This window comes from Homo sapiens, chromosome 16, assembly GCF_000001405.40.
Source record: "Homo sapiens chromosome 16, GRCh38.p14 Primary Assembly".
Taxonomy (NCBI): Eukaryota; Metazoa; Chordata; class Mammalia; order Primates; family Hominidae; genus Homo; species Homo sapiens.
This window is the reverse complement of record NC_000016.10, coordinates 74704570-74727911: the sequence shown is the minus strand read 5'-3', so window position 1 is coordinate 74727911 and position 23342 is coordinate 74704570. Positions and strand designations below refer to the sequence as shown.

General features: G+C 49.9%; 1 protein-coding gene across 3 annotated transcripts in view, besides 1 other annotated feature; it reads left to right on the top strand.

Moving 5' to 3' along the window:
* Window positions 1–14943, top strand: part of FA2H (fatty acid 2-hydroxylase) — a 61852-nt gene extending 46909 nt beyond the window's left edge. For 2 of the 3 annotated variants that reach the window (NM_024306.5, XM_011523319.3), the window contains exons 3-7: window positions 526–668; window positions 1581–1687; window positions 8752–8924; window positions 11313–11565; window positions 13643–14943. In NM_024306.5, coding sequence (NP_077282.3) covers window positions 526–668; window positions 1581–1687; window positions 8752–8924; window positions 11313–11565; window positions 13643–13722 — 756 coding nt within the window. In that variant the 3' untranslated portion in view covers window positions 13723–14943. Of the gene's footprint in view, window positions 1–525; window positions 669–1580; window positions 1688–8751; window positions 8925–9338; window positions 11566–13642 lie in introns of those variants that run through there. The other variant, XM_011523317.4, reaches the window with a different exon arrangement.
* Window positions 7150–7319: an enhancer, noted in NCBI's record as "experimental_44395 CRE fragment used in MPRA reporter constructs". NCBI's record gives its function as "activates a minimal promoter by MPRAs in K562 erythroleukemia cells, with activity observed for the introgressed 16:74754576 variant allele {active_cell/tissue: K562}" and the evidence as "EXISTENCE:reporter gene assay evidence [ECO:0000049][PMID:34662402]".

Below are 23342 nucleotides of genomic sequence, written 5' to 3'. Positions count from 1 at the left end.
TTGAATGAATTAATTACCCAGGCCAACACCAAGAAGCCTGGGGAAAAGAGCCCACTTCATTCCTGATACAAAATGTATTACCTCCTGTACCTCAAGAGTCCTGAGCAAGACTTTAAACTTCAGATGTGGCTGAATCTGGATGCTCAGATATCATCACTGAGATTCTGTCTCTCTAGCTCTTGGTTTGGCCATCTTCTGTGCTGGTGGCATCTTCAGGCAGGCTCTGCTAGTAAATCCAGGCTCATGCCCTGCCGATTTAGCACCTCCAACAGAAAGAGGGATCATCTGATGGCTCATCACACCAGCTTAGGTCGCAAACCTTTACCGGATCCTATTGCTGTGGCTGGGGGCTGGGATGAGCAGCTTGGTCAGTTCTTGATCACTGAAGCAGGAGGGTGGGTGGCCCCACACAGATCACAGGAGCTGAGGTAGGAGCAGGGGATTGGGATGCTGTAACGAGGAAATGGGAGAACGAATATGGGAAGACGTGAATATCAAACGTCCACTTGGCTTCATCTCTTGCAGGACCTGGTGGACTGGCGAAAGCCTCTCCTGTGGCAGGTGGGCCACTTGGGAGAGAAGTACGATGAGTGGGTTCACCAGCCGGTGACCAGGCCCATCCGCCTCTTCCACTCAGACCTCATTGAGGGCCTCTCTAAGACTGTCTGGTGAGCTCTTCCCTGAGCCTGTGGCAGGCTGTCCCTCTCTTCTGACGGTGCCAATCAGATATGGAAAGGGAGGGGGCAATTGAGTCCCTCCCCAGAGCCCAGGTCTATGCTGTAAAGCTGTCAGGGAGGGAGGAACATGCCATGGGAATAATTCATCCCTATGCATGGTTTTGTCCACTGGGTGGGTCACAACCCAGCATGTAGCCAGAAACTACATTGAATGCCACCTCTGGTCTATTCCAGACTCTTATGAGGAGTTTCTTGCCCACGATGCGCATGGGAACAATTTTGCCTGCAATTAGCTCCTCTGCCACAAGAGGTCAGCATCTGACCAGTTGCATAGAGTCAGTAGCCCTGGGGACACAGTTCTTTTCTGCCAGTAACTCATCTCAGAGACAGGAGGCAGATGGACTCACAGCCTCTCTCCTCTTTTCTCTTCCCCACTCCCTGTACCAGTGTCCCTTTGACCCCAGGTCTCCATAGGCATTCTGCATATGCTTTGGTGTCATCTTGTCCCCAATCCAGTTGAGTTATGTGTCTCTAAGAAAGCTGGACCCTGCCGGGCATGGTGGCTCACGCCTGTAATCCCAACACTTTGGGAGGCCAAGGTGGGTGGATCACCTGAGGTCAGGAGTTCGAGACCAGCCTGACAACATGGTGAAACCCCATCTCTACTAAAAATACAAAATTAGCTGGGTGTGGTGGCACATGCCTGTAATCCCAGCTACTTGGGAGGCTGAGGCAGAAGAGTCACTTGAACCCCAGAGGCAGAGGTTGCAGTGAGCCGAAATCACGCCATTGCACTCCAGCCTGGGCAACAAGAGTGAAACTCCGTCTCAAAAAAAAAAAGAAAGCTGTACTCTGTCAAGCTCCTGTGCATGTATCTCTCTCACCCTGATGGCCTTCCTGCAGGTACAGTGTCCCCATCATCTGGGTGCCCCTGGTGCTGTATCTCAGCTGGTCCTACTACCGAACCTTTGCCCAGGGCAACGTCCGACTCTTCACGTCATTTACAACAGGTAATGCCAGTTTCTTTCCTGACTTGCCCTGAGGATCCTAGAGGGAGGAGACCTCAGTGCTTTCCCTGGCCCAGAGTTTCTGAGAGCACAGAACCCCAAACTACATCACAGACATTTTTGGTGAAGCCTCTCTGTAGAAATAGTCTTCCAAAGAAGAATTTTGTCTGACTCCCATCTACCCCCCAAATGGATACAAAACCCAACAACACATCAGCAGAAACTAAATGGAATCATCGGGTGGCATAGCAATAAAAAAAGAGAGAGAGAGAGATTGAGTGCCTCTCATTGAGTGTCACACCAAAAGACACATGATGTGGGATTCTTTGCTAAGAAACTAAATGAAATCACTTCATCGGGTGACACAGCTGAGAGCTAGACTCGGACTGGCCTATGAACCCAGCACAGATTAGCAGAGAACTTGGGAGAGAAAGATCTGGGAGTGTCCTAGAGTGTGTCCAAGGCAAAGGCTCAGGCAGCAGACCCCCAGACTGGGAGTAATGGCCCACTAACCTCTATGGGACACTTGCCATGTGCGGGGCCACGTGTTCTCCCAGGACCGCCTCATTTACCCCTCCCAGCAGCCCCATAAGAAGGGTCCTGTCATTATCCCCTTTTAGAGCTGAGGAAATGGAGCCTCAGAGATATCAAGGGAGTAGCTGAAAGGCGTGTGGCTAGGATGTGGATACCAGGTGCGCCCCAGCTTCTAGCTGGGGGGCAGAGGATGAAAAGACAGGCTGATATGGGGCAGTGTCTAAAGAGCCTATGAGACTGGGGTTTAGGATGACTGTGGGTTTAAGTATAGCCGCTGGGACAGCCAGCCCCACAAGCATCTTGCCTACCTTGGGCCTCCAGGTACATGCCACCTGCCCTGTGGTCTGTCTGTCCTGGCTCTGAGCTTCCTGAGCTGCCCTCACTCTGCCAGGGGAAGCTCTTTTCCCTGCACTCTGCAAGTCAAGTGCCTGAATGGTTGACATGAGAGGGGCCATGGTCACGGCATCAGGAACTTCATTTATCCACCTGACCCAGGATGAGTCTGGTGAGCGAGCTGCAGGAAGTTCCCCCAAATCCAGCCCAGAGCTCCTCCCGGTCACCGAGGGTTACTGCAGGCATCCCTCGAGCCATGGTTGCCCTGTTCTGCTCACGCTGAATAGCTCAGGCACAGCACGGAGCTTGTTGCTCAGAAGGCCTGCTCGCTGAATCACCCACTGTCCGCCCGGCACTCCCCTAACAATCACAAACAGTGGCAGGGCCGCCAGGGCTGGCAGCCGGAGGGGGAAGGGGATGCTGAAGCTTTGGCCCAGGTCCCTCCGCCGGATTCCTCCAGAGATGCCACTCAGTACCAGCTCCGGCCGGATGGGCAGACAGGGGTGATGCTGGGGTGAGGGGGCGGGCAGAGGCTTGACCTATAGGAGAGGTCTTTCCTGCATGGCAGGGAGGATGATTTGAGGGCTCTATCAGCCACACGGCCTTGGCAGAGAGCTAAAATGTGCCTGTCTTATAAAGGTCCAGTGTAGAGGGTTAGTAAGCCTGTGACCATGATGCCAGTGATGGGGGCATGAGAGATAACGTCTCCACGTGCCTCCCTCAGCCCCCAGCTTGTCATGCAAGGCACAAGCCACAGGCAGAGAAAATAAGAGCCCACAAAGCAAGGCAAGGGGAGACTCGGCGGGATCCTAGTGCAGCTGCTGGACAAAGGACGCACTGGAATCAATACAGAAGAGTCAGGGTGCCAAGAAGCAGTGGAAGCTGAACGCAGACACCAGTTCAAGGCTGACATTCCTAGATGCGCACATGAAAATGCTTTCAAAAGCTGAGGAGACGGGGGAAAGGGGGCGGCGCTGCATACTCAGGATGGCTCCAGAGCAGCTTCTGAGAGCACGTTAGAGCGAGTGGCATCCCTGAGAGGAGGGGAGGCAGGCTTCCAGTGGGGTGGTGTGCGGGGCCCGGCAGAGGCCAGGACCTTAGTCTGCGCCGGAGAGTGCTCCCGTACGTCCAGTCCTTTCCTTACCAACAAGAGAGCTAAGGCCAGGCACGGTGGCTCACGCCTGTAATCCCAGCACTTTGGGAGGCCGAGGTGGGTGGATCACCTGAGGTCAGGAGTTTGAGACCAGCCTGGCCAACATGGTGAAACCCAGTCTCTACTAAAAATATAAAAATTAGCCAGGCATGATGGTGTGTGCCTGTAATCTCAGCTACTTGGAAGGCTGAGGCAGGAGAATCGTTTGAACCCAGGAGGCAGAGGTTGCAGTGAGCCAGGATCATGCCACTGCACTCTAGCCTGGATGACAGAGTGAGATTCCGTCTCAAAAAAAGAAAATATAATATTAATATTATTATATAATACAATGTATATACTCATCATATAATCAGATACTCTGTTACCTCCATCCTAACTACACCCCTCCAAGATGGGTAGGGTGTTTCCCTGAGGAAACTGTAACACCTAGGCGGTGCTGAGCCAGGATTTGAATCCAGGTCTGCAAATCCAATGCCTGTGCTCTCTGCACTTCACCGGAATGACCTTATGGACCCCAGAGGTATCAGGGTTTCTCTGGAAGCAGGGTCTCTCACCAACCAGACCAGCCCAGCTAAGACTCCATGGGAGAGGGGTCACTTGAACCTGACTCCTTTGGTAATATGTGGATGTCAGTAACCACAGCCTCCCAGGAAGGAAACCCAAGAGGAGGTGGGCGGGAAGAAGGAGGAAGACGGTTGGCCTCATTTGGGAGGTGTTCACGGTGGGGACTGTGGACAACCACATGGAGCTGTCCAGTAGGGCGTGGCCACCCAGGGTGGAGTTGGTGTAGAGCTTCGGTCGTCAGCATGTGGGAGAGGAAGGGATTGAGCTGAGAGGCAGAGGGTCCAGGTTTGGACCCTGGGGACAAAGGGCAGAGTTTCCAAGATGGAGCCTGAGCAGGGAGATCCAGGGAAGAGGAGAAAAGCCAAGTGTGGCGGCAGGCAGAAGGGGGAGCTATGGATTCCAACCTTATTGCTCCCGGATCCTTTGAGAATTTGAGAAACTGTGGACACAGTACAGAGAAAAAATGCCCATAGGTGTACAATTTGATATATTAGCAAGTTCACAGACACTCTGCAATCCAACGTAGTACCCTCGGATATTCATAAGCCTCAGGTTAAACGCCTAGGCAGCTGCAGATTGAAGAAGAGAGTAGAGCTAATGTCATATGCCACAGCCAGCTTAGAGGTGGACTAAAAAATATGCTTAGATTTGGCAAGAAAGACATCATGAATAGCCTTTGAAGTTCTGGTGGTTTGGGGCAGAAGACAGATTTTTTTTTTTTTTTTTTTTTTTGAGATGGAGTTTCACTCTTATTGCCCATGCTGGAGTGCAATGGCACGATCTTGGCTCACCACAACCTCTGCCTCTCGGGTTCAAGCGATTCTCCTGCCTCAGCCTCCCAGGTAACTGGGATTACAGGCATGCACCACCATGACCGGCTAATTTTTGTATTTTTAGAGACGGAAGTTTCTCCATGTTGGTCAGGCTGGTCTCGAACTCCTGACCTCAGCTGATCCGCCCACCTCAGCCTCCCAAAGTGCTGCAATTACAGGCATGAGCCACTGCATCCGGCCCAGAAGACAGATTTTTAAGGACTTGACAAGCCAATGGGAAGTGGCAAAGTGGAGCCATGAGTCCAACCTACGTTTTCTTTTCTTTTTTTCTTTTTGAGACAGGGTCTTGCTCTGTCATCCAGGCTGGAGTGCAATGGTGCAATCACAGCTCACTGCAGGCTTGAACTGCTGGGCTCAAGTGATCCCCCTGCCTCAGCCTCCTCAGTAGCTGGGACTATAGGCATGAGCCACCATGCCCAGCTAATTTTTTTACTTTTTGTTGAGGCGGGGTCTCACTGTGTTGCCCAGGCTGGCCTCAAACTCCTGGGCTCAAACGATCCTCCCACCTCAGCCTCTCAAAGTGCTGGGATTACAGGCATGAGCCCCCATGTTCAGCCTAGCCTGACTTTTTAGGAGCCTTGATGATGAAGGGGCTGAGTCCATGATGGGAAAGTCTTGCCTACCTCAGAAAGATGAGCAGAAGAGCCAGGAGAAAAGGAGAGACTGAAGGAGCCCAGAGGAGTCCCTTGGGAGGGAGGGTGGGAGGAGGCGGCTGAGGGCTTTGCACTGCCGAGCAGGGGGAGCCTGGCAAGTCATGGACTTTGGGCCTCCACGTCCTCAATCATGCAGGCAATGCAGGGCTTCCCTTGTAAGGCTGTGGTGAGATGAAATAGGAAGTAATCCATGGAAGGCCCTTGGGCGGTGCCTGGCACACAGGAATCAGTCAGGACACATCTGCCGTTACTGTTGCTCTGATCATCCAGCGCCCGCGTGCCGGTGCACACCTCTTCCCTGAGAAGCAAGGAGGATGCGCCAGGGTACCGGCAGAATGTGGTGTGCTTGGAAGTTGGGGGAAGTATGTGGAGGGGATAGTTCCTCCCCAACCCCAGGGCCTCTCTTCTCTGTGAAGTAGGAAGCTGGGTGGAAGGAGAGGCAGTAAAGGGGAGTAGAGCGTGTTCAAGGGCAGTGGGGAGGGAGCTGAACTTGAAGATGCACAGGGATCATCCATCAGGCTGTGTCTAGGGTCTTGCAGAGGTTAAAGGTGCCAGACCCACAGCTGTGTGAGTCTCCATGCTCAGCAGCTTGGGTATGGGGTACAAAGGCAGGTTCCTGCGCTGACCCAGGGGTGAGGGTTCATGGGTGCAGGTGAGGGAGATGGAGTAAGGGTTAAAAGAGAACGGCTAGGCCAAGCATGATGGCTCACTCCTGTAATCCCAGCCCTTTGGGAGGCCAAGGTGGGTGGATCATTTGAGGTCAGGAGCTCAAGACCAGCCTGACCAACATGTTGAAACTCTGTCTCTACTAAAAATACAAAAATTAGTTGGGCATGGTGGCGCACACCTATAATCCCAGCTACCCGGGAGGCTGAGGCAGGAGAATCACTTGAACCCGTGAGGTGGAGGCTGCAGTGAGCCGAGATCGTCCCATTGCACTCCAGCCTGGGTGACAAGAGCGAAACTCTGCCTCACAAAAAAAAAAGAGAGAGAGAATGGCTAGCTTTGGAAAACAGTCTGGCTATTCTTCAAAAGGTTAAACATAGAGTTATGATATGAACCAACAGTACCACTCCTGGGCTTGTACCCAAGAGAAAGGACAACATCTTTTCACACTGAAACCTCTACACGAATGTGCATAGCAGCACTATTCACAATAGCCAAGAGCTACAAACAGCCCAGGTGTCCCTCAACTGATGGATGGATGAATAAAGTTTGAATATCATTCAGTCTTAAAAAGGAATGGAGTTGTAATACATGTTACAACATGGGTGAATGTTGAACATATTCGGTAAGAGAAGCCGGTCATAAAAGACCATATGTCATATGATTCAATTGACGTGAAATGTCCAGAATAGGCAAATCCAACAAAGAGGAAGTAGACCTGTAGCTTCCTAGGGTTGGGAGGGTCTGAGAAGAAATGGGGAGTGGCTGCTAATGGGTACAGGGGCTTGGCGGGGAAGTGATAAAAATGTTGTAAAATTGACTGGGGTGACGGTTTAACAACTTTGTGAGTGTACTAAAAAGCACTGAATTATATATTTTATTTGGATGAATTATATGGATGTGAATTAGATTTAGATAAAGCCGTTAAGAAGAGAGAAGATATGGCCAAAGCTATGGTTTGTAGAGAAAAGAAACAAAGATAAGAGGATGAGGATGGGCTGGGCACGGTGGCTCATATCTGTAATCCCAGCACTTTGGGAGGCTGAGGAGGGCAGATCACTTGAGGTCAGGATTTCAAGACCAGCCTGGATAATATGGTGAAACCCCCTCTCTACTAAAAATATAAAAATTAGCCAGGTGTGGTGGCACACACCTGTAATCCCGGCTACTCAGGAGACTGAGGCAGGAGAATCACTTGAACCCGGGAGGTGGAGGTTGCAGTGAGCTGAGATCACACCACTGCACTCCAGCCTAGGCAACAGAGCAAGACTCTATCTCACAAAAAAAAAAAAAAAAAAAAAAAAAAAAAAAGGATGAGGATGAATATATGGAGCAAACAGGAATGAGAGCTGAAATCTCCATGAGGTCAAAGAATGAATGAGGTGGAGGAAAGAGCTGAAAGCCGCTAGGACTGCAGGCTGTCTCCGGAGGGTGGTGGGAAGCATGTGCTTGAAGATGGTGCCCTGTCTCCAGTCTTCTCCTCTCCACCTAGGCTGATCATCTTCAGTGTTTTCACATCTTCCTCCTGTGCTATGATTTCAGGTCTTGTCTGTTGAGATCTCGGTGCTTGTTTTTTCTTGTCCTTCCTGCCCCATGGTCCCTGGTGGGTCACACTTCCCATCATTAACACCCTGGAGGCCAGGCACAGTGGCTCCCTTCTGTTATCTCAGCACTTTGGGAGGCCAAGGCGAGAGAATTGCTTGAGTCTGGGAGTTTGAGACCAGCCTGGGCAACATAGCAAGATCTCGTCTCTACAAAAAAAATAAAAATAAAAAATAAATTTAAAATTAGCTGGGTGCGGTGGCATGCACCTGTGGTCCCAGCTACTTGAGAAGCTGAGGTGGAAGGATCGCTTGAGCCCAGGAAGGGAAGGCTGCAGTAAGCTGTAATCACACCACTGCCCTCCAGCACTCCAGCACTCCAGTCTTCCAACCTGGGCGACACAGAGATACCTTGTCTCAAGATAATAATAACAACGCCCTGGCTCAGGAGTGTCGCCTTCTCTTCTCCAATGTCCTTGGGGCAAGGTCACCCTTCCAGGTAAAGGCCCAGCCCCAGCCACAGCCACTCCTCCCACAGCCTCTGTAAGGAGGATGTCAGGCCTCCAGCCAGTGGCCCATCACTCCTGTAAAGGACTTCCCAGACCCAGACCAGAGTCCTACAGCCTCCTTCCCATTTTGACTCAAGGACCCCAGCAGTATGGCCTGGCCCTGTAGCTGTCCAACAGAGGGCAGCAGCTCCCGAGCTGATGGGGATGGTGAGGCAGGGACACCTGGAGCTACCAGGCTGCTATGCACCGGTCCTCACCTCGCTCTCCCTGCCACCCTGCAGAGTACACGGTGGCAGTGCCCAAGTCCATGTTCCCCGGGCTCTTCATGCTGGGGACATTCCTCTGGAGCCTCATCGAGTACCTCATCCACCGCTTCCTGTTCCACATGAAGCCCCCCAGCGACAGCTATTACCTCATCATGCTGCACTTCGTCATGCACGGCCAGCACCACAAGGTGAGCGGGGCGGGGTCCCAGCCCGGACCTAGCATGTGCAGCCCGAGAGGGCCCGGCAGCCAGCCGCAGCTTCAGGTGCTGCGGAGCCTCCTGGGAGTCTGGCTGTGGGTTGGGAGGGACGGGACGTTTGATGTGACTCACGGGGCAACTGGGTTGGGCATCCGAACCTAAGCCAGGCGGGGACAGCGTGGGTGTGCAGCATCAAGCTGACCCCAGGCCCTCTGCACCCTTGTTTACGCATCACCTTTAATCCTCAAAACAACTCATTCATTCGTTCATTCATTCAGCAAATGCCCAGTGAGTGCCTCCTGTGTGCGAGACACTGTTCTAGACATCATTGAACAAAACAACAAAAAGCCTTGCGCTCCTGGAGCTTGTGCTGAAAACAGCCCCATGGTTCTCCCCGTTCCACAGAGCAGGAGACTGAGGCCTAGGAGGACTAAGGAACTTGCCCCAGGTCACACTTGGCACAGCCAGGATGTCGTACCCCATTCTGGGGATTCCAGAGTCTGCGCTCTCAATCACCCTTCCCCTGAGGCCCTTCAAGGACTCCACGACAGTCCCAGAAGCTGGCCCGAGAAGATAGGTCTGCCCAAAGGAAGCTACCTCCCCTGTACCCCCCGCTGCTTCTCTGTCCCTGCATTGTGCTGTCCTTGGCCCATCCCAGGCTGTTCCCCAGCCCGTCTCCACACTCTGTTCTCTGCTGGGCATAAATCAGAGAAAATATGGCAGATATGATACTTTCGGGACACCAGTTTAGACCCTGATGTCGCTGATACTGAACGTGGGTTTCACCTTGGTTTCCCAGCAGCAACTTAATCCGGTTCATCTCGATGAGCCGATTCGGGGTTTGATCGGCCGCCTGGGACAGTTCTCAGGTTGGTTGGCTGTGGTCCTCCCGGCTCTCCCCAGAGTTGATCTGCATCCTAGGGGGCTTTCCTAGGGGCCAGTATCAGGGTGGGTGCCCAGTCCTGGGCCAACCTGTCTCTCAGGTATGCTCTCAGAGGTAGCGCAGCCCAGGCCTGGCCTGTGTCCTCCAGCCTCACCTGGCCTCTGCTCTGCAGAGCTCACTGCATCTGCTTCTGTGTCCCTTGCCCTGTTTGTGAAGCCTTTTCAGATCCACTGCCCTGTCCGCTATCTTTCCCATCCACAGGGGACACCAGAACCTTCTGGGAACCTGCTCAGGCCATTCTGGGGCCCCAGGGGCTGTCTCAGGCTCCCTCTTTTGAGACACTTCCACCCCAGTCTGTCCAGTCCCCTGCTGCCACACCATGAGGACCCGAGGAGACTGTATGGCCTGTAGCCACGTGGGCTCCAATCAGGAACGTGTTCTCAGATCCCCAGACCTATCCATCTAAGGATCCTGATCCAGCTGTGACCCGGATCTGGCCCATACCAGCTCACAAGAGCACCCATGCACATCCTTTCCTGTTTCTGTTCCAGTGACGCCACCTCAGCGCTTGAAAGCGCCAGGGCAGTTTTCACACTGCAGGAATTGGCAAACACTACCAATCAGGGCTCTCCCTCCCTCCCTTTATTTCCCCCTCCCTCATTCCCCAGCTCTCTCCCTTCCTCCTTTTCCTGAGAGCTGGTTTTCCAGCACATCACTGGTCCTGTTGTTCCTGGTCTGAAGGGAGGGAGGCCCACGCCAGCATCTCATTGTGTCACTGTCACCTGCTTTCTCTCTCTCTCCTCCAGCCCAGAGAGGCTGCAGGATTCTCTTCTCAGACTCCTCACCAAGCCATAGCTAAGATCTCACCTCTATGCCAGGCCCTTGGCTTCTGAAGCTCGAGGGCCACGGTGAAGCGGTGTTCTCTGGTTCACTGTGGCGACACCCCCTTGGAACAAAAAAGGCCTCCTGTTTGGACATGGGGGTGGGGAGGACACCTCTAGTGACACTTCCGGGTCATCCCGCCACAGAGGCTGCATTAACCTCAGTTGCCCTCAGTGCCTTGCTCTCCCAGACAACATCAGGCCTCAGTCTAGGTGCCCTGTCTCCAGAATGCCCCTCTAGCCAGGGGCACGGCATTTAGGGATGGGATACCTGTCTAGCACCTGACAAATTCCAGAGTCACAGTGGCCTCTATAAGATGGGCTCTGAGCCGCCAGCACACCCCACCCATCCTGCCCATCCTGCCCATCCCGCCCATCCCATGTTCCTTTGCAATCTGCCAGGTCCCTTCCTGGCTCACAAATGGGAAGTAAGACAGTCTCTCCAGATCTTCCAGACGTGGTGGCCCGCCCTCCCCAAAGCCACCAAAGGTGCCAAGCCTACGCAGTGGAATGTCTGGGCCGCTGTGCCCCTGTCCTCTGCAGGGAGTGGCCAGGGTTTGGCCAGCTGCCGGGGCCCCTGGCTGCCTCCTGATGCCCAAGCCTCTCCATCTGCAGGCACCCTTCGACGGCTCCCGCCTGGTCTTCCCCCCTGTGCCAGCCTCCCTGGTGATCGGCGTCTTCTACTTGTGCATGCAGCTCATCCTGCCCGAGGCAGTAGGGGGCACTGTGTTTGCGGGGGGCCTCCTGGGCTACGTCCTCTATGACATGACCCATTACTACCTGCACTTTGGCTCGCCGCACAAGGGCTCCTACCTGTACAGCCTGAAGGCCCACCACGTCAAGCACCACTTTGCACATCAGAAGTCAGGTGAGGATGGGCCTGTGCTTCCCAGCCCCCTATGTGTGTTCATTGATTTATTTGCCAACTACCATCGAGCTCCTGGGAACGGCAAGGCACTGTTCCATGTACGGGGCATATACAGAGGGTTCCCTCTACTCTCTTCCCTGGTGCAGACAGCTGTGCAGAGACAGGCAAGGACATCAATAAATGGCAAAGATTTCAAACTGTGATAAATGCCATAAAGAAAATAAAGGGGCTGGGTGTGGTGGCTCACACCTGTAATCCCAGCCGAGGGGATTGGGAAGCCGAGGCAGGTAGATCACTTGAGGTCAGGAGTTTGGGACCAGCCTGGCCAACATGGTGAAACCTGTCTCCACTAGAAATACAAAAATTAGCGGGGTGTGGTTGTGCCCACCTATAATCTCAGCTACTTGGGAGGCTGAGGCATGAGAATAGCTTGAATCCAGGAGGCAGAAGCTACAGTGAGCTAAGATTGCACCACTGCACTCCAGCCTGGGCAACAGAGCAAGGCTCTGTCTATAAAAAAAAAAAAAAAAAGAAGAAGAAGAAGAAAGTAAAGCAAGGTGATGGAATATCACATAGGTGGGGGAGGGTCCAGCGATTTCCACTGACATATTATGTGGGCCACATATGTGATTTTAAATTTTCTAGTGGCCACACTAAGACATGAAAATAAACAGATGAAAAGAATTTTAATAACATTTACTTAACATAAGCAAATTATTATTTCAACATGTAATCAACATTAAAAAATCATTAATGGCTGAGCGCAGTGGCTCAGGCCTATAATCCCAGCACTATAGGAGGCGGAGGCAGGGGATTGCTTGAAGCCAGGAGTTCCAGACCAGTCTGGGAAACATAGCAAGACCTTGTCTCTACATAAAAAAGTTTTAATTATCCATGTGTGGTGATATGCACCTGTAATCTCAGCTACCTAGAAGGCTGAGGCAAGAGGATCATTTGAGCCCAGGAGTTTGAGGCAGCAATGAGCTATGATCATGCCACTGCACCCCAGCCTGGGTGACAGAGTGAGACCCTTTTTGTAAAGTCTCTTTAAAAAAAAATAATTAGCAACTCTTATACTAAGTCTTTGAAATCTAAGGTGTATTTTGTACTTACAGCACATCTCAATTCAGATACTAAAGTTTCATTAGAAATACTAGATCCATATCTAGATTTTATAAAATTTGCAAACAGTAGTTCACATAGGTAAGTTGCTCCAAACATGCTTAAACATTTTCCGGTAACACACTTGAGGAGGCCGAGACGGGCAGATCACCTGAGGTCAGGAGTTCAAGACCAGCCTGGCCAACATGTTGAAACCCCCTCTCTACTAAAAACACAAAAAATTAGCTGGATATGGTGGTGCGCGCCTGTAATCCCAGCTACTCAGGAGGCTGAGGAAGGAGAATCTCTTGGACCCAGGAGGCGGAGCTTGCAGTGAGCCAAGATCACACCAGTGCACTCCAGCCTGAGCAACAAGAACGAAACTCCATCTCAAAAAAAAAAAAAAAAAAATTCCAGTAACTCAATCAAGCATCAGTTTTTACATTGACATGTTAATTCATCAGAATTAAATGAAGTTAGAAATTCAGTTTCTCTGGAGCTCTAGCCACATTTCTAGTGCTCAGTAGCCATGTGTGGCTAAGGGCTAGTTGGACAGCAAAGAGATTAAATGGTCCAGGTGTCATTGCAGAGGTGCCATTAGAGCTAAGACCCTAATGAAGAGAAATCAGCATCTGGCGTCCCAAGAGCGACTGGTGCAAAGCCCTGAGGCAGGAATGAACTTGGGCCCCAAGGAAGGGGAAGGAGATGGAGGTGGGGGGTGGGAGGGGGCCACGTAGCCTAGAAACGAAGGCCAGATAAGGAATTAGGGTTTATTCCAGCTTCATGCTGGGGACAATAAAAGACACAGGTTCCCCACCCTTGACTTCTGCCAGAATGGCCTCGGGAGTTGGGAAGGCCAAGGGGACAGATATTGACATTGTCTCCACCTCTTATCCCTACCCTGGCACCCTTCCCAAGCCAGCGCACGCCTGCTCCTTCAATGCCTCATCTTCTCCCCGTTTGTCTCCCTCTCTAGGATTTGGTATCAGCACTAAATTGTGGGATTACTGTTTCCACACCCTCACTCCAGAGAAACCCCACCTGAAGACGCAGTGACAACTCCCACCCCCTCCGTCCTGCCCTCAGCCCGGCCCTGGCCCCTTCCCGACCCCCACCCGCCATTCAGACCCCATTAAGAAGGTTGGCTTGGCCAGGCAGGATGGGCTGTGTCCGGCCCTGCAGCCTAGTGGAAGGTGCTGAGGGGGCCCTGAGGCAGGACCGCCCTCCTGACCCCTGGTAGGAGGGTCACATCCACTTGGTGGCCAGGTGGCCCTTGGTGACCCACTTCTTCCTGGAGCGTCCCTGCCTAGAGCTCAGCCCACAGGACTGCTTCAGGCCGTGGCCACAGGTAGCAGCCGCAAGGGGAAATGAAGAAAACTGAGCCCTCGTGGCCACCTGTGTCACCCTTGTGCCTTAGCCTCATGGGCTGCCTAGGAGCTGCCTGCACGGCACAGCTCGCTTTCACAGTCAGAAGTGGGTCTGTGGGATCTGTGGTCCCTGTCCTCCCTGCTGTCCCTTCTGGGGAGGCTTTGGTGGCTCTGAGGTGGACAAAGAGCTCTCGCAAGAAGAGACAGCGTGATGCCTCCCACAGTCCACCCCAGACCCTGGGGCAGCCCCTCTGGCCCTGCCAGCTGCCTGCGTCGTTGGGCCCAGGGTGGCTGGCAGGAGTCCCAGCTGCTTGCTTTAGGACCTGGCAGCTTTTCTTGCCGTCCCTCCCCTGCCTCCAGAATCACAGCCCTTCTCCCCAAGGGAGGCTGAGGAGGCTTCTCCACCAGTGGCAGCCCCACCCCGTCCCTGGCCATTCTTGGCCTCCACCCCGCTCAGGCCCCTACTCGGGCGCTCCCAGAAGGAGCCACCTCTCAGTGCCTCACCTCCCCCTGCCTCCCAGCCTCCGCAGATGAGGTTCCTGCCCCTTCCTCCTCGTAACCAAAACCCTCACTGCTCCCAGGACGGTCTTATTTATAAACCAGATACATGTTCTTAGTCTGGTCCCAGACCAAGGAGCTGGTCAGACGGCCCTTTCTAATCCTACATGTTGAGCTTATGTAAAAAATGTTGTTTCCTCCTGTTTTTGGTTCCTTTCTTACCCACAAACCATTACTACTTGAAACTTAAAAAACTCGCCAAGTGTAAAGGCTAAAGAGAAGCAGTTTGACGGACCTTGTGATTTGTACTGTTTGCTGCGGAGCTATTTAAAGATTTTGGAATAAATATACAAAACTACGGTTGTGAAATAAAAACTTAAATTGTATATTTTGAAAAATAAAACACTGAAAAGAAACCAACAAAAATGAGTTGTTCATCAGACTCCCTCGTGGTTGGGAAGGGGCAGTGGTGTGGGGAGGGATAGAGGGGCAGAGGATTGGTCCCCAGGGAGGGAGATTCTAGCCCTGACCAGGGTGGGTAGAATTGCTGGGGCATGGTGATGATTAAAAGCTGACCAACTCTCAGCTGGGCGCGATGGTGCATGCCTGTAATCCCAAGATTTTGGGAGGCCAAGGTGGGAGGATCGCTTGAGGCCAGATGTTCAAGACGAACCTGCCCAAAATAGCAAAACTCCATCTCTAAAAATAAAAGAAAACAAGACAAAAGAAAACAAAACAAAAGGAGAAAGCTGACTGACTCTTATTCTCTCACTCAGCTTTATTCTGTTTCTAAATTCTCTGCAGACAGCATCTCCTCTTATTGCCTGCACCTGGGATGCATTGTGCCCACAAACCACTTTGATCCGCCAATGGGGAGGGATCTCTTCTGGAGTTTATCTAACCCCAACTGAGCTTCCAGTCGACTTTCCTAAAACAGAGGGAGAAAGGCTCCAGCAACAAATGCCCATAGTGGGAACTAGAACCTCAAGCAGCTCAGTCTCGGTGAAACTGTTGCTTGTCTTTCTCTGCTGCCCTATCGGAACCACCTAGGAAGCTGTCGAAGTGCAGCTCCAGGGCCTCGCACTCAGGGTCTAGTTCAGTAGGTCCAGGGGGGTAGGCCCTGGACTCACCTGTCTGAGGACACGGAAGCGGAAGCAAGCTGATGTTGGGGAGCCTCGGAGGGAGCCCAGAACTCTGCTGTGTCTCCCTGCTCTGGCAGTCATAGGGGCAGCTTTATGCCTGCAGCTCCCAGCCCGAAGATAAGTAGGACCCGTCGGAGCCACCCATCACTCGAGTCCCTGAAGCCTGTCACCGGAACCCAGCCCGTCCAAGCAGCAGAACTCATAACCTTCATTTACTGATGGAGCTGAGCAGCTCACCCTAGACCATCACACCCAGGGGGAGGGAGGCAGAGGAAGAACACAGGAGGAGCTCCGCAAGTGTAAACACACATGGCCACAGCAGGAGAAAAAGCCTAAGGTGAGCAAGATTTAGCAAAAAAAAAAAAAAAATTGAAAATTTTCTTTAAGAAGAGTGAAACAGGCCGGGCGCAGTGGCTCACACCTGTAATCCTAGCATTTGGGAGGCCGAGGCAGGCGGATCACTTGAGGTCAGTAGTTCGAGACCAGCCTGCCCAACATGGTGAAACCCCATCTCTACTAAAAATGCAAAAATTAGCTGGGGGGCGTGGTGGCATGCACCTGTAATCCCAGCTACTCAGGAGGCTGAGGCAGGAGAATTGCTTGAACCTGGGAGGTGGAGGCTGCAGTGAACTGAGATTGTGCCACTGCACTCCAGCCTGGGCAACAGAGCAAGACTCCATCTCAAAACAAAACAAAACAAAACAAACAAACAAACAGTGAAACAGACGGGACATGGAAGCTTATGCCTATAATCCCAACACTTTAGGAGGCCAAGGCAGCCAGATCGCTTTAGGTCAGGAATTTGAGACCAGCCTGGGCAACACAGTGAGACCCCATCTCTACAAAAAATAAAGAAAATTACCTGAGTGTGGTGGTGCACACCTGTAGTCCCAGCTACTTGGGAGGCTGAGGTGGGAGGATCACTTGAGCCCAGGAGGTTGCGGCTGCAGTGAGCCGTGATCACACCACTGCATTCCAGCCTGGGCAACAGAGTGAGACCCTGTCTCAAAAAAAAAAAAAAAAAAAAAAAAAAAAAAAGGAAGTAAAACAAAACTAATAAGAAAGGCCAAAAAATAAAGTGAGTTTCTAGCATGGTAATGAGAAGATTTAGAAAAAAAGTGACAACACGAAACCAAGCCCACCTATTAATGAAAAGTCCAATTGGTGAAAATCTGACAGATTCTCCCAGAGCTCCCCATTGCACCGCTGTAACTGTCCAGTGGGGTTGGGAGTATCCACAAGGCCTTTTGGAGAGAGAGCAAGTCCCACCTCACAGGGACTTGAGAGTGCAGAAGTAATTGCCTGCATTTTCTTTCTTTTTTTTTTTTTAGACGGAGTCTCGCTCTGTCGCCCAGGCTGGAGTGCAGTGGCGCGATCTCGGCTCACTGCAACCTCCGCCTCCCGGGTTCACGCCATTCTCCCACCTCAGCCTCCCAAGTAACTGGGACTACAGGTGCGCGCCACCACACCTGATAATTTTTGTATTTTTAGTAGAGATGGAGTTTCACCATGTTGCACAGGCTGGTCTCAAACTCCTGTGCTCAGGCAGTCCTCCTACCTCAGCCTCCCAAAGTGCTGGGATTACAGGAGTGAGCCACCGCACCCGGCCATATTGCCTGCGTTTTCACAGCAGGGCAAAATACAGGAAGGCCACGAGGCCTGCAATCCCCAAGCAGTTAGTGCTCACGGAGCAGCCCCCACCTCAGTGAGCATCTAGGGGAGCTGGAGGATTTTGCCATCAAGTGTAAGAGTCAAAGATTAGATGTTAGAGCAAGCACAGGATATTATCAAAATGCCAACACATCTGGCCTGATGGGAAAAGCCTAGACCTGTGACGTGGGATTGTGTTTATTCCTGCAGTGGGAGAGACACTAAACCAAAAAAGTTTTATGTTTGCTCAGGGAGGTAGCTATTGATTTATTTATAGAGAGAGGTTCTCACTCTGTTGCCCACGCTAGGGTGCAGTGGCGCGATCATAGCTTACTGCAGTCTTGACCTCCCAGACTCAAGAGATCCTCCTACATCAGCCTCCCAAACAGCTGGGACCGCAGGCATGTGCCATCGTGCCCAGCTAATTTTTTAATTTTTCTAAGTAGAGACAGGGTCTCTCTATGTTACTCAGACTGATCTCGAACTCCTGGCCTCAAGCAATCCCCCCAGCTCAGCCTCCCATAGTGCTGGGATTACAGGCATGAGCCACAACACCCAGCCAAGAGGGCCATTTAAATTCTGATCAGCATAAAGTAAATCTGCAGATTGACTGACCCTCAGTGGCCCTACAAATTTGCCTCGCCTGATTCTCCAGGGATGACCCAGCTTCCATGGTCAAGAACAGACCAAAAAATAGCCATCATATTTATTTCTGGTATTGTGTTTGTATTTCCAGACATGCTGTCTTTGGGAGTTCCTTAGTTGATCTGAAGAACAGCCCTCTTAATTCTGCTCTGTTCCACTCCCCCGTTGGCTCTGACCTCTGATCTCTGCCTTTGAACTTTGTGTGATTTTTTATTGTGCCCAGCACAATGACCAACTTGTAACAGAGCCCAATAAATGCTTGTCTTGTCTGCATCAGATCTCAGACGGTAAGAATAACTGGGCCTTGCCTCTCCACCTGTTCCCGGCCTCTGCTGCCCTCTGGTGGCAGCATGCAGCCCTACTCCATTATTACTGCCCTCGCGGGGACTGTTTTGGAAGCAGGTATCTGTGATTTCAAAATTCTAGCCTTTCCCAATTTACCCGTTCTGTTGACTTACATTCTTGACTCATCTGCCATTTTTGAGAGGAAGTTGGAAATATGTATATGAATAGTTCTAACTTTCAAAAAAGCCATAATGGTTGCAAAATTTCAACTGGAGTTTTCTTTACAGTTAGGTGTTTTGCCCAAAGACCACACCAGGCTCCAATGAATAAATGTTATCTATAAAGAATGCCACAAGATGAATGTAAAATTTGGAAAATTCCAGGACTCTCATCTCATAAGTGTCTGTCCCATCTCAGACACCTATAGCGGAGAGGAAGAAATTTAAAAGAAGAAAAAAATTTTTGTTCTGGCAAAAGCAGTGGGGTTATATCTTCTTTTAGGTTCCCTAAAAATGGGATTACAGGCGTGGTGGCTCTTGCCTGTAATCCTAGCACTTTGGGAGGCCGAGACAGGCAGATCTCCTGAGGTTGGGAGTTTGAGACCAGCCTGACCAACATGGAGAAACCCCGTCTCTACTAAAAATACAAAATTAGCCGGGCGTGGTGGCCGATGCCTGTAATCCCAGCTACTTGGGAGGCTGAGGCAGGAGAATCTCTTGAACCCAGGAGGCGGAGGTTGTGGTGAGCTGAGATCGCACCACTGCACTCCAGCCTGGGCAGCAAGAACAAAATTCTGTCTCAAAAAAACAAACAAACAAACAAAAATCAAAACCTAAAACAAGCACATGGATGCAGGCAGTCTATTTGGGAGGTGATTGCAGAAATAAAGAGCGAGAACCAGGGAGGTCTAGAAAGGGAGAAGTTGGAGGAGCAGTGTAAGGTTGAGTATGTGAGGTTCTCCTACAGATTCTGTAAGGGCATCTTGAGAAGCACAGAGAAAATGTATCGGAATTGTCCAATAGGACAGGAGGCTGGAGCATTTATCACCAGCTTCCACTCCTATGGGTGAGGACTGTCTTCAGTGACATCGATTCACCCTCACTTAGGGACTTCCCAGCCATGCAAGCCAAGCAGATGCTGGCTTTGGCAAAAGTCCTTGGACAAAAGCAGGAACATAGAGGTATGCATTTGTAGTGGGATTCTATCAGTACAAGTTGAGTATGAGCTTGTTAGGCAGGAGCTAGCCACTGGAACTGTGGCTGAAATGAAAGCTGAGACAGAGTTCACACAGAACCTTCCACCGCAATTGAGGCTAAGACCAGAGGCAGACAGAGGGGGCATGATGAGGAGGAACAGATGTGTTTGCTACAGACCCCAAAGGGTCATATCCTCAATGTAAGAGTGAACCAAGAGGAAACCCACCTCCCCAGGGCACTGCAAGTGAAATCTCCTGCGTGGAGTGGGTAAAGGCTGAGGATGCAGAGCCACAAGGAGAGTCCTCACTGAGGTCTGAAGCCTGAATTCGTGCAAACCGGGTGATCTGAAACACCTCAAGCCAAAATTGTGATGTAAAATAGCCCGGTTGGTGGAGCCACAAGGCTCTCAGAGGAAGCAATTAAAATTGTTTTATGGAGAAATGTATCTTCAATTCAGGCCTCAAAAAAATCCCGCAGGTAAAATTCCAAAGACTAGCCAGGCACGGTGGCTTACGCCTGTAATCCCAGCACTTGGGGAGGCCAAGGCGGGCAGATCGCGAGGTCAGGAGTTCGAGACCAGCCTGGCCAATATGGTGAAACCCCATCTCTACTAAAAATATAAAAAGTAGCCAGGCATGGTGGTGCATGCCTGTAGTCCCAGCTACTCGGGAGGCTGAGGCGGGAGAATCGCTTGAACCAGGAAGGCGGAGGTTGCAGTAAGCCGAGGTTGCGGCAATGCGCTTCAACCTGGATGACAGAGTGAGGTCTTGAAAAAAAAAACATAAATAACTTAGGTAAATGTAATAGGATAAATGTCTATAAATGAACTTTTCATGTAATTTGAAATTTTGAAGTTATGTTAGGTTAAACAAAATAATAGATATTCGTTAAATGTCTGGGTCAATTTGTTTCATTAAAAAATAGTATTTTTTAATGAAATACAAGAACACATTATTTTTTATGAACCATATGAAAAATATTATTTTTTAATGAACAAAATTACTGAATATAAATACAAGTGTGTTCTTTGATGCTTACATTTTGTAAAAGATTACATTTATTGGGTCTATTAATACATCCAAAAATTTTATTATGGAAAAACATGTTTTTAAAAATTATGAAATGGGAGCCAGGAGGACTACTTGAAGCCAGTTCAAGACCAGCCTGGACGACATAGCAAGACCCTTTCTCTATGAAAAAATTTAAAGATTAGCCAGGTGTAGTGGTACACCACCTGTAGTGTTAGCTACTTCGGAGGCTGAGGCAAGAGCATCACTTGAGCCCAGGAGTTTGAGGTTGCAGTGAGCTATGATCACACCACGGCACTCCAGCCTGGGCAATAGAGCAAGACCTTGCCTGGGATAGTGACTCTTTCCTTCAACCTTTTCATCACCTCTTATAACTTTTTTTTCTCCAGTCTAACTCTGCCCTTATAGCCTGACACTGAAATGTTTATCTTAAAGGCCTGGAAGAACAATGCTTTCTTTCACTATACCTTGATTCTGTACTCTTGGCTACTCTTGATGTGTCTGAATTTTTGCCAGAAAACTTCCCATCCTGTTGCTAAGAATCACCTATTCCCCTTATCAAGGTACAAGTTTTCTTGTTTGTTTACTTTCTTCCTTTTTTTTTTTTTTTTTGAGATGGAGTCTTGCTCTGTCGCCCAGGCTGGAGTGCAGCGGTGTGATCTCGGCTGACCGCAACCTCCGCCTTCCGGTTTCAAGCGATTCCCCTGTCTCAGCCTCCCAAGTAGCTGGGACTACAGGCGTGCACCACCATGCCCAGCTAATTTTTTTGTATTTTAGTAGAGACGGGATTTCACCATGTTGGCTGGGATGGTCTCAATCTCCTGACCTCGTTATCCTCCTGCCTCAGCCTCCCAAAGTGCTGGGATTACAGGCATGAGCCACCATGCCTGGCCTACTTTCTTCTATAATACAGTGTACCCTCATAACCTTGGACACATTCTTCTTATGTCTGATTAAATTTTATTACTCTTTTCATCAGGTGTAACTTTCAGGTTATCTAAACAGCCTTCCTATAAAGAGAAGCAATCACAGTACAGGAAATTTTTCTTAATCTTTTTGGTAACTGGCCTTAAAAAAAAAAAACAAAGAATTTATGTTTTACCAAGACAATTTCCTATGTTGTCTTTATTAGGTTTCAGTTACTCAGGAAAACTGAGCTTTAAATTGGTTAAGGTTTTTACATCCATGTAACTTTCTGTATTGCTTTTTATTATTATTATTATTATTTTAGACAGGGTCTTGCTCTGTTGCCCAGGCTGGAGTGTGGTGGCATGGGCTCAAGTGATCCTCCCACCTCAGCCTCCCGAGTAGCCGGGACTACAGGCGCACACCACCATGCCTGGCTATTTTTTTGTATTTTTGGTAGAGACTAGGTTTCACCATGTTGGCCAGGCTGGTCTCGTATTCCTGGGCTCAAGTGATCTAACTGCCTCAGCCTCCCAAAGTGCTAGAATTATAGGCATGAGCCACTGCGCCCAGCTAGCCTCTGGATTCTTAAGGTATATTGGCTTGTAGTTTTCGTTTCTTGTGTCTTTATCTGGCTTTAGTATCAGAGTAATGCTGGTTTCTTAAAATGAGTTAGGAAGTGTTTCCTCCTCTCCTATTTTTGGAAGAGTTTGAGAATGATTGGTGGTAATTTATTTTTAAATGTTTGGTAGAAAACACCGCATGTTCTCACTCATAAGTGGGAGTTGAACAATGAGAACACATTGACGCAGGGAAGTGAACATCACCCACCAGGGCCTGTCAGGTGGTGGGGGCTAGGGAAGGGATAGCATTAGGAGAAATACCTAATGTAGGTGGCGGGTTGATGGGTGCAGGAAACCAGCATGGCACGTGTATACCTATGTAACAAAACTGCACATTCTGCACTGTACCCCAGGACTTAAAATATAATAAAAAAATATAATAAATACAATAAATAAAAGTCTCCAAGAAAGAAAAAAATGTTTGGTAGAATTTACTGTAAAACTATTAGGCCTGGACTTTACTTGTTTGGAGGAGTTTTGATTATTAATTCAATTTCTTTACTTGTTGTAGGTATGTTCAGATTTTCTATTTCTCATTGAGTGAATTAGGTAAATTTTGCGTGCCTGGGAATTTGTCCATATCCTCTAGGTTACCTAATTGGTTGGCAAACAATTGTTCATAGTTTTCTCTCATAGTCCTTTTTATTTCTGTAAGGTAGATAGTAAGGTCCCCACTTTCATTTCTGATTTAAGTTATTTTCATCTTCTTTTTGTTTTAGTTTAGCTAAGGATTCGTCAATTTTATTAATCTTTTCAAAGAACTAACTTTCAGTTTCATTGATTTTCTCTTTTCTGATCTTGGTAATTTCCTCCCTTCTGCTAGTTTTGGGTTTGATTTGTTCTTCTTTTACTAGTTCCTTAAAGGGTAGAGTTGGGATAATGATTTGAGATCTCTCTCTCTCTTTTTTTTTTTTTTTTTTTTGAGATGGAGTCTCACTCTGTCACCCAGGCTGGAGTGCAGTGGCATGATCTTGGCTCACTACAACCTCTGCCTCCTGGGTTCAAGCGATTCTCCTGCCTCAGCCGCCTGAGTAGCTGAGATTACAGGTGCCCGCCATCACGTCGGGCTATTTTTTTTTTTTTTTTTTTTGTATTTTTAGCAGACGGGGTTTCACCGTGTTGGCCAGGCTGGTCTTGAACTCCTAACCTCGTGATCCACCCGCCTCAGCCTCCCAAAGTGCTGGGATTACAGGCATGAGCCACGGCACCAGGCCTCTCTCTTTTTCTCTTTTGTAGCCATGTAGCTATAAATTATCCTTTGAGAACTGTTTTTGCTGCATCCCCTAAGTTTTGGCATGTTGTATCTTTTATTTGTCTCGAAGTATTTTCTAATTTC